General features: G+C 36.7%; 1 protein-coding gene across 5 annotated transcripts in view, besides 1 other annotated feature; it reads left to right on the plus strand.

Annotated features, from left to right (window-relative positions):
- Positions 1–1,631, plus strand: part of NPFFR2 (neuropeptide FF receptor 2) — a 116,306-nt gene extending 114,675 nt beyond the window's left edge. For all 5 annotated transcript variants that reach the window (NM_004885.3, XM_011531554.3, NM_001144756.2 and 2 more), the window contains one exon: positions 304–1,631. In NM_004885.3, the coding sequence (NP_004876.3) occupies positions 304–1,138 (835 nt within the window). In that variant the 3' untranslated portion in view covers positions 1,139–1,631. The remainder of the gene's footprint in view (positions 1–303) is intronic.
- Positions 6,665–7,451: an enhancer, noted in NCBI's record as "OCT4-NANOG hESC enhancer chr4:73019056-73019842 (GRCh37/hg19 assembly coordinates)". NCBI's record gives its function as "activates a minimal SCP1, AML or CMV promoter by ChIP-STARR-seq in primed H9 embryonic stem cells {active_cell/tissue: H9 hESC(primed)}" and the evidence as "EXISTENCE:reporter gene assay evidence [ECO:0000049][PMID:30033119]".

Genomic DNA, 10,776 nt, shown 5'->3' on the forward strand with positions numbered 1-10,776 from the left:
AAGAGACGGTCCATGCAAATTAATGGAACAGAGTCTGAAACGGTTTTAGGCATTCATGTTCATTATTACTTTTTATTATTAATAGTGTCTGCTATACTCCATTTGTTCAAATTTTGAATTAAAATTTATCTCATATCAATTACAGAAAATGACAATGCATGCCTTTCTACTACAAATGGTAACTTTCTATATTTTTGAGGAGACTGTAGGGTGAGAGGCCTGTAACTACATAAATAAATTTGGTGTATGACTTGGTCAGAAGTGATGAAGCAGTGCCTCATTTATATTTGTGTTTAATTGCAGGTTCCAGTGTGTGGTCTACCCTTTTAAACCAAAGCTCACTATCAAGACAGCGTTTGTCATTATTATGATCATCTGGGTCCTAGCCATCACCATTATGTCTCCATCTGCAGTAATGTTACATGTGCAAGAAGAAAAATATTACCGAGTGAGACTCAACTCCCAGAATAAAACCAGTCCAGTCTACTGGTGCCGGGAAGACTGGCCAAATCAGGAAATGAGGAAGATCTACACCACTGTGCTGTTTGCCAACATCTACCTGGCTCCCCTCTCCCTCATTGTCATCATGTATGGAAGGATTGGAATTTCACTCTTCAGGGCTGCAGTTCCTCACACAGGCAGGAAGAACCAGGAGCAGTGGCACGTGGTGTCCAGGAAGAAGCAGAAGATCATTAAGATGCTCCTGATTGTGGCCCTGCTTTTTATTCTCTCATGGCTGCCCCTGTGGACTCTAATGATGCTCTCAGACTACGCTGACCTTTCTCCAAATGAACTGCAGATCATCAACATCTACATCTACCCTTTTGCACACTGGCTGGCATTCGGCAACAGCAGTGTCAATCCCATCATTTATGGTTTCTTCAACGAGAATTTCCGCCGTGGTTTCCAAGAAGCTTTCCAGCTCCAGCTCTGCCAAAAAAGAGCAAAGCCTATGGAAGCTTATGCCCTAAAAGCTAAAAGCCATGTGCTCATAAACACATCTAATCAGCTTGTCCAGGAATCTACATTTCAAAACCCTCATGGGGAAACCTTGCTTTATAGGAAAAGTGCTGAAAAACCCCAACAGGAATTAGTGATGGAAGAATTAAAAGAAACTACTAACAGCAGTGAGATTTAAAAAGAGCTAGTGTGATAATCCTAACTCTACTACGCATTATATATTTAAATCCATTGCTTTTTGTGGCTTTGCACTTCAAATTTTTCAAAGAATGTTCTAAATAAAACATTTACTGAAAGCCCTCTCTGGCAAAAAAATTAAAAATAAACAAAAATGGTCATAAGATCATAAACAATCTTATGTTGTATAAAAATACGTAGAGTGACTTAGACATGTTTGCATGAATAAATATATTTCTAGAGAACAGTTTACAAAGCCTCATCTTTCCAAACTTAACCATTTGTGTATGCGTCAAATCAAGCCTGCACGCGTGCGTGCATGTGTGTGTGTATTTTCCCCAAATGGTGATGATGAGCAGTGCTTTGCATGAAACTAGATTTTATCAATTTCTCCTTTGATTTTGGATTTAAAATTTTAGATTACAAGACTATTACTCTGCTTATGTTTATAAACTGTACTTGGTTTTCTAAGAAATACATTCGATCACATGAAATTCTCTGCTGTTGTTTTTCTCATTTCCATTACTTCATTTCGGTTAATCTACAAAGGCAAGATATTATAGGTCCATGGGTAATTACATCACAGAGGCCCTCACTTCCTGTGTGTTAGAACTGTAGTAGCAAATAAAGGGACACATATTTCTTTATATTTAAAAGTTGCTTTTTTGAAAAGAGTACAAAGGAGTTTTTGTTGGCTTTTTCATATTTTCATAAGTGAAGTTTATGCCCTAGTTGAACACACATTTGTTACAGAGCTGATTGAGGACCCCAACTTAACCCCTTTTTCTAACAGAATCTCTGATGTAAAGAAGCAAACCCTTTAATAATGCAGCAGTTAGCAGAAAAACGGCACCTTTCTTTGAAGTGTTTAATCATAGATGTTTAACAATTATCATGACTCTCACATAGAGAGCAAGAACAATTATTTCAAATCTTCTACTGAGCACATTCAAATCCAGCACCCTGGGTTTAGTAAACTAGTATTATTGTTTAAAAATGAATTAACAACCCCTGGTTTCAGCTATGTTAGAATTATCTAATGATAATGGTTGTCAATGTTACCTTTTATTCTAGGATGAGGTAAATCTCTAGAAAATTGGAAATTATAACAAAATAAACAGTTTGGCAAATAAAAATAAATTTCTAGAAGTGAAGCTATTTTACTTTTTTCAGTCATTTTTGTGGTTCAAACTAAAAGCATTTGCTATGGTTTGGATGTGGTTTGTCTCCATCAAAACTCATGGTAAAATTTGATTCCCAGTGTGGCAGTGTGGGAAGCTGGAACCTAGAGGGAGGTGATCAGATCATGGGGGCACCACCCTCATTAATAGGTTAATGTCATTTCACAGGAATGAGTTCTCACTGTTCTGAAACTGGATTCATTATGGCAAAAGTGGGTTGTTGTAAAGCAAGATTCTTCTCATGTTTTGTCTCTTTGGACATGCCTGCTCACTTTTCTGCTTCTCTGCCACGTTGTAACGTAGGACATGGCCCTCACCAGAAGCCAAGCAGATGCCAGTGCCATGCTCTTAAACTTTCCAGTCACCACAATTGTGAGCCAAATAAACCTCTTTTCTTTGTAAATTACAAAACCTCAGAATTCCGTTATAGCAACACTAAATGGAATAAAACTTTTCCACATTCTAGTCTTTTGAGAAATAATTGTAGAGTTTTTTGCTTATTTGTTTGTTTTTGTTTTTTTGGGTTTTTTTTTTTACGAAGTCTCTCTCTGTTGCCTAGGCTGGAGTGCAGTGGTGTGATCTCGGCTGAATGCAACCTCCACCTCCCAGGTTTAAGGAATTCTGCCTCAGCCTCCCCAGTAGCTGGGATTACAGGTGCGCACCACTGCACCTGGCTAATTTTAGCTTTTTTTTTTTTTTTTTTTGAGACGGAGTCTCACTCTGTCGCCCAGGCTGGAGTGCAGTGGCATGATCTCGGCTCACTGCAATCTCCACCTCCCAGGTTCACGCCATTCTCCTGCCTCAGCCTCCCAAGTAGCTGGGACTACAGGCGCCCGCCACCACGCCTGGCTAATTTTTTTGTATTTTTAGTAGAGACAGGGTTTCACCATGTTAGCCAGGATGGTCTCGATCTCCTGACTGCGTGATCAGCCCGCCTGGGCCTCCCAAAGTGCTGGGATTACAGGCATGAGTCACTGCACCTGGCCTAATTTTTGCATATTTTTAGTAGAGACGGGGTTTCGCCACGTTGGCCAGGCTGGTCTTGAACTCTTGATTTCGGGTGATCTACTCACCTCGGCCTCCCAAAGTGCTGGGACCATAGGTGTGAGCCACCACACCCAGCCAATTGTTGAGTTTTTAGTTGAATTGAGCCATGTGTTATTTGAATATACAAGTGTTATTTCCTACAATTATGAAGGGCAACTCTTAAAAGTTGTAGGTATAGAATTTGACCATATATTATTTTATCTTGATTTACTAAAATACTATTTACAGTCAGTGTACTCAGGCATAGAAGATTATTTTGATATAGACTATCACTTTCTTATGGGCCTCCTCACACAGATCACATTCTGTCAGCACTTGAAACTCATTATCACTAAATTGCAGGTCCTCCCATTCATCTGCCTGCTTTTATCACCTTCTATTCCCTGTTTCATCTTCCCTAATGGTCACAAAACTCTCCTTACTGCATCTTATCCTGATGTTCAGTCTTGCATCTTTTAATTATTTCTAAAGTTGGCAAAGGCATGTTCCTGAACTGGAGGACTACTTTGCTTTCTTTCATTAATAAATAGTTTGACAAATATAAGTAAGTCTCTGGGAGTCTATCTATTATATTTCTTATAATAGCTCTCTCTCTTTTTGTAATAGGCTCTCTGCCTCTTAAAAGATGTGCATTTTAAAAGCCCACCATGGACTGGCCCTCATCTCCTGATTATATATTTGACACAAATTGTTTTCAAAACTCAAGTCAGAAATGGTCAGCCTAGATTGTTGTGTTTTTCCTCATTTGTTAATTATTCACTGCTTTACTCCCTTATTTGACTGTCTATATTTTGTCCAAGATCTGTTAAAAAGCCACCTCTCTCACAAGTCTGCATTCTTACAGCAGAAATTGTTACTCTTTTCTAAGTACTATGTACCTCTTATATATGACAACCTAACTTGTAATTGCTTTGTCTTGTGCTTGCAACTAGAATATAAATTTCTTAAGGGCATGATGAATTAGGCCTTTCTCATCTTTAGATCCCCTACAGTGTGGATCACAGTAATAGGCAGTAAATATATATATGCTAGATAATTGCCACAGGCAAAAACCATCTGTCATGTTGCTTAAGAGGAATGTCTAATTCTGAACAAGTAGAATTTTGCATACAGATTCTAGTATACCTGTTACAGACAAAGGAGAGCTTTTCTATGAATTGAAACAACAAAATAACAGATAAAGAAAGCTAAAATGTCTTGAACATGCACAGTCACTAAGATTTAGGTTATATAGTCATATATGATTTGCTACCTAATAGCTTAGTGCTTTGTACAAACAAATTTCCTATGCCTGAATTTTCTTATCTGTAATATGGGAATAACAATAGCTCCTTCCTCCTGGTCTGCTGTGAGTATTAAATGATGGGGGGAAGTTTGTATAATAAAAAGCAGAGAAACTATAACTTAGCAAAGGCTAAATGATTGTTGCTGTCTCGATGATAGTGAGAAGTATTAATAGGAGTAGTAGTTATAATAGTATCAAGCCCATGCTAGGTTATATTTTACATGTTTGATAACCCTCACTAGAGCACTCCAAGGTATGTATTATTCCCATTTTACAGATGAGAGTACCAAGTCTAAGAGAAGCTGGTTTACCCAAAGTCATGAAGCTTGAAAGTAGTACAAACAAGTTTGTAACTCAGAAACATATAATTCCAAAACGTTATTTTTTTCCTTCTATATCATATCATCTGTGTGTTATGATGAACTTATTTTGGACTACCTCTTAACCACTTCTTCAATCACCATTTTTCTGATTGTAAAATAATACCTGGGCTACTTGTAGAATTTGTGAGAAACACAGAATAGTACAAAGAAGAGAATAAAATTACACATAATCCCTCTAGCAAGAAGAAAAAAAACACACTGAAAACACATATTTTAACTAACGCTTACTTCAGCACCCTGTATATAAAATTTGCCAATAGTGATTATTTCCTAAAGTAGATTCCTAGCAGGAAAATTACTAGAAAGAGCATTTTTGTAATACTTTTGATATGTACCTTGTTATTTTTAAAACTATTAATATAAAATTCCAATTTTGTGGCTGATCATCTCACAGTATCCTTAACATGTTAAGTTTTTCTTCAACTTTGCTACTTTTATATGTGAAAAATCAGTTAAATTTGTTGTTTTGATTACTAGTGTAGTTGAACATTGCTCTATTTCTTACTAATTTATATTTCTTCCTCTTCCTATTCTTTGGCCATTTTCCCTGTGTATTTTTTGTTTCCTTTTGTATTTCTATTCATTGCTACACATTTTTGTATTTAAGGCATAGCATCTTCAATAAAAGGCAGAACAATCTTTTTAAAAAACAAGTTAGATGTCACTTTCTCATTTCAAAGCCATCAATAGTTTCCTTTCGAATTAGGAAAGAAACAAACTCCTAGGCTTACATACATTTACTTTTTCTGCCCTTGCCTACCTCTTAACCTCATCTTGAACTCAATACTCATCATTCACACAGACTGTCTGTCTCTTCCTCTGACATCGGCCAAGCCCTTTGCTGCTTCTGTGTTGTGCACCTGTGTTCTTCCTGCCAGGAACGTCCTCCCCCTTTACCTTCACATATCGGCTCCCCCTTAGCCTTCAGTGTTCAACTGAAACCCCACCTGAGCCTTGCCTATTTCCTGCATAGCTCTTCTAATTATCTGCAATAATCTTCAAAATTTATTGAATTACTTGTTTAATATCTATTCCCTACCAAGAAGCAAAATCCATAAAGGCAAGGATTTTTGTCTTGTTTATCATTGTATCATTCAGTGTCTAAGAGAGTGTGTGGCTCATAATGGGCACATGATAAATATTTGAGCAAATTAACTGGTTGCAAATATTACCAGTTTTTAATTTTCATTAAATTTATTTATGAATATGTTATTTTATTTTTAAATATTGAAATAATTCAGAACATAATAGAAACATTAAGTAATATACAAAAGCAGATGAAATAAAATAAAATAAAATAAAGTAAAATAAAATAAAATAAAATAAAATCATTCTTTATTCTGCTGTCACTGATAATCATTCTTGCTGTCATTTGGGGGCAAGGGTACATGCTTTCTTTCACTATTATTCTGAGGCATATACTTTATTACCTTTTTATGTAACTTAGTGTATCAAGGACATGTTTTATGTTGTTTAGTAGTCATCAAAATATTTTATTTTCATTCCACTTCCATTATTTATTGAGTTTCTTCCCTGTACCTGGAAATATAAATTATTTCTTACATTTTATAAAATGATACAGTTATTTACACCTTGTAAAATACTGGGCATATTTATAATCGTCTTTATCTGGGAACCTGCCCCGATATTCATGTAGGTTCTTTTCTATTTTCCTTAAGCGTCGGCCAGCTTGAGAAATAAAGGGACAGAGTACAAAATAGAGAAATTTTAAAGCTGGGCATCCGTAGGTTCCATGATGCCCCACAAGCTGCAAAAACCAGCAAGTTTTTATTAGGGAGTTTCAAAAGGGGAGGGAGTGTGCGAATAGGTGTGGGTCACAGACATCAAGTACTTTACAAGGTAATAGAATATCACAAGGCAAGTGGAGGCAGGGTGAGATCACAGGACCACAGGATGGGGTGAAATTAAAATTGCTAATGAAGTTTTGGGCACCATTGTCATTGATAACATCTTATCAGGAGACAGGGTTTTGAGATCAACCGGTCTGACCAAAATTTATTAGGCAGGAATTTCCTCTTCCTAATAAGCCTGGGAGCGCTATGGGAGACTGGAGTCTATTTCACCTCTGCAGTCTCGACCTTCAGAGACAGGCGCACCTGGGGGGGCTGTTTATACGCCTATACCTCCAGACACGTATTCTCTTTCTCAGGGATGTTCCATGCTGAGAAAAAGAATTCAGCGATATTTCTCCCATTTGCTTTTGAAAGAAGAGAAATATGGCTCTGTTCTGCCTGGCTCACCGGTGGTCAGAGTTTAAGGTTATCTCTCTTATTCCCTGAACTATTGCTGTTATCCTGTTCTTTTTCCAAGCTGCTCACATTTCATATTGCTCAAACACACATGCTGTACAATTTGTGCAGTTAATGCAATTATTACAGGGTCCTGAGGCAATATACATCCTCCTCAGCTGACAAGATTAAGAGATTAAAGTAAAGACAGGCATAGGAAATCACAAGGGTATTGATTGGGGAAGTGATAAGTGTCCATGAAATCTTTACAATTTATGTTTAGAGATTGCAGTAAAGACAGGCATAAGAAATTACAAAAGTATTAATTTGGGGAACTAATAAATGTCCATGAAATCTTCACAATCCACATTCTTCTGCCATGGCTTCAGCCAGTCACTCCGTTTGGGGTCCCTGTCTTCCCACGACACATCTTAGAACAGACTTCCAAGAAATTCAATTACTTGGCCAAAAATGCATGTACATTTCTTACTGTTTTAATGCAGATTGTCAAATATTTCTTGGAAAGATTTTTAACATTTAATACCTCACTTAGTGATGTAAAACTTTGTTCACTCACTCTCAAATACTACGCATTCCATAAAACTAGTTGTTTTGCCAATTTGATAAGAAAGAACTTGTATCCCCATGTGTATTGCTACACAATTGAACATTAAAAAATAATCTACATTTAATTTGATTCATTTGTATTCATTTGTCTTCACTTGTATTCATTTGCATTTCCACCTTAGTCAATTCCCTCTTCATGGTTTTTGCCCTCATCTCCATTTATTTTTCTTAGCAACTTGTAAACACACTCTCTAATTCAAGATATTAACCTTTGACTAGCAGGCAGATAGCTACATTTTCCCTTATTCAACATGCACCTGTGTGCACATGTATGCATACAGATATGAGGGTAAAGACCTCAGCCTTGAAAGAGTTTTTTTTTTTTTTTAAGTGACTTAAAGAAGATAGATAATTATATCTCTCTCATAAAATTATACCTGATGGGAGTGGTCTAGTTTAGCATAGCCTTTATTTAGAAACGCAGATTACTTCCTTCTGACTGCTAAAGAGCAGGAATCAGCAAACTACCCTCAAATCTGGCCCTCCACTGCATTTTGGCAAGTACAATCTTATTAGAACACAGCTCTGCCCATTTTATTTATAGATTGTCTATAGCTGCTTTTGTGCTAGAATAGAAGATCTGAGTAATTGACACAGAGACCATCCAGTTGACAAAGCCTAAAATATTTACTATCTGAATAATTATGGAAAACTAGTTAATTTCTCCACAGAGTTTTGTTCTTGTCTCCATGGTCACAACTAACCAATAGGCACATCCATGTATACGAACATGGGGAGGGAAAGGAAGAGCTCTAGGGCAGGTAGTGGGTCTTTAAATTGTGGAAAACCTGGAAAGTATACAAATCACTGTTGTTCATATACAGTTAGTGAAATTTACTCACATAGCCATGCCAATCTTCAAGCACAGCTGGGAAATGTAGTCTTCAGGTAAGCAGCCATGTGCCCAGTCTAAATTCTACTACTATAGAAAAAAGAGAGAACAGATTGTTTACATTTTTACATTATCAAATATACTATTTTTTATTTTTGAAATCTTTTTTAATTTTGATTTTAGAAAGTACTTTCAAGTCTTTACACAAGACATTTGCTTTCTGTGGTAGGTAAAATAATAGTTTCCTCCCTTCCAAGATATCTATGTCTAAATCCCTGGCATTTCTAAGTATGTTACTGTATTTGACAAAAGAAACTTTGCAGATGTACTTAAGCTAAGAATCTAGAAATGAAAAAATCATTCTGGATTATTTAGGTAGACCCAACATAATCATAAGGGTACTTCTAAGCAGAAGAAAGATACAGAAGGGAGAGGCAAAAGAAACTCTGACTATAACAGAGATCAGAGTGGCACAATTTGAGAAAAATTGAAACCTGTCTTTGAATGTGTGGGAAAGGGACATGACTCAAGGAATGTGAGTGGCCTCTAGAGATGGAAAAGGCAAGGAAATGCGTTTTTCCTCTAGAGCTTCCAGAAAGAAATACAGCCCTGATGATGACTTGATTTTAGCCCAGTAAGGCCTATGTTGGACTTATAACCTATGGGATTGTAAGAATATATATTTGTGTTGTTTTGACACACTAAGTTTGTGGTAATTTGTTGTGGCCATAATAGAAAATGAATACAGACCCTGGTGCCTGGAAGTGAGAAGCCACAGTGACAATAAGTAGGTGTAAGTGGCTTGAAATATGGCAATGAAGAGGGGTTGGAAGAATTCTGAGGATCCTGATAGACTAAGCCTAGATCTTTTTGAACGGGCTGTTGGTAAAAATATGGATATTAGCAATTCTGTTAGTGAAAACTGAGAAGGAAATAAGAGCCAGGAGAGAGAGAAATATTTATCACTTTAGAGAATACCTACATTGTCATGAAAAGACTCTTAGTAGAAAAGTGGATGTTTAAGGCACTGCTTGTACAGACTCAGAAGGAAATGAGGGACATGTTAGGGAAATTTGAGGAAAGGAGAGCCTTGTTATGTAGTGGCAGAGGTTTCATAGAATTAGGTCTTGTCATTTTGTGGAAATTAGAACTTGGATATTTAGCTGAGAAAATTTTTGAGCAAAATATTGTAGGCATGGCTTGGTTGCTTCTTGTTGATTACAGTAAAATTCAAGAGGAAATAAATTAAGGGAAGAATGGTCTTTAATAAAAGAAAACATGTTTTGATAGTTTGAGAACTTCTAAGACTATTTGGATTGCAAAAAATGAAATTAAGAGAGTCATTGTCAGAAAAGTATGCTATATGAAAAAAATCCAGGGTATGTTTGGATAATCTTTTGCTAAATTTCAGAAAAACAAAAGATCAGAGTATTCAGAGAGTAAGCATGTGACTCATAGATACCCTTAGCCATCTCAGCAGAAGCCAAAAATGGAAATGGGATTATCTTTGAAAAATCTGTTGAGGATCCTCTTGTCTAATAGAATTTAATCTGTGGCCTACATAGGAGACCCACCAAGTTTTTGAGAATGTTATATCAGCAGAAAACATTACCTGATTCAACTAAAAATGACTGAGAGGGGATGACATGAAAGAAGGCTCTAAAATCCCCAAAATTCTATAGGCAAAAAACAAGCTGATAAAACTCTTCAACTGTAAAAGGTGATATGTTTCATGAATAAGGGAAGATGACAATAAGGACAGAGTTGAAAACTCAAAAGGCAAAGCCATGAGCCCACATAAAAGAGCTAAGAGCTTAGAGGGCGGAGCCAAGAGCTCAGAGGGAGTCAAAACCACAAGCCACAGAAAATTATTCCTAGGGCTTAGAACCTAATGGAATCTGCATCACTGGATTTAAAAAAATATTTGGGATTGGTGACTCCTATTTTTCCTTCCATTTTCTCTCCTTTTGAGCAGGAATGCCTGTAAATGTTATCCTATGCCGGCCCTACTATTGTATTTTAGAAGCAGGTAACC

This window comes from Homo sapiens, chromosome 4 (genome assembly GCF_000001405.40).
Source record: "Homo sapiens chromosome 4, GRCh38.p14 Primary Assembly".
In the NCBI taxonomy this organism is placed as follows: domain Eukaryota; kingdom Metazoa; phylum Chordata; class Mammalia; order Primates; family Hominidae; genus Homo; species Homo sapiens.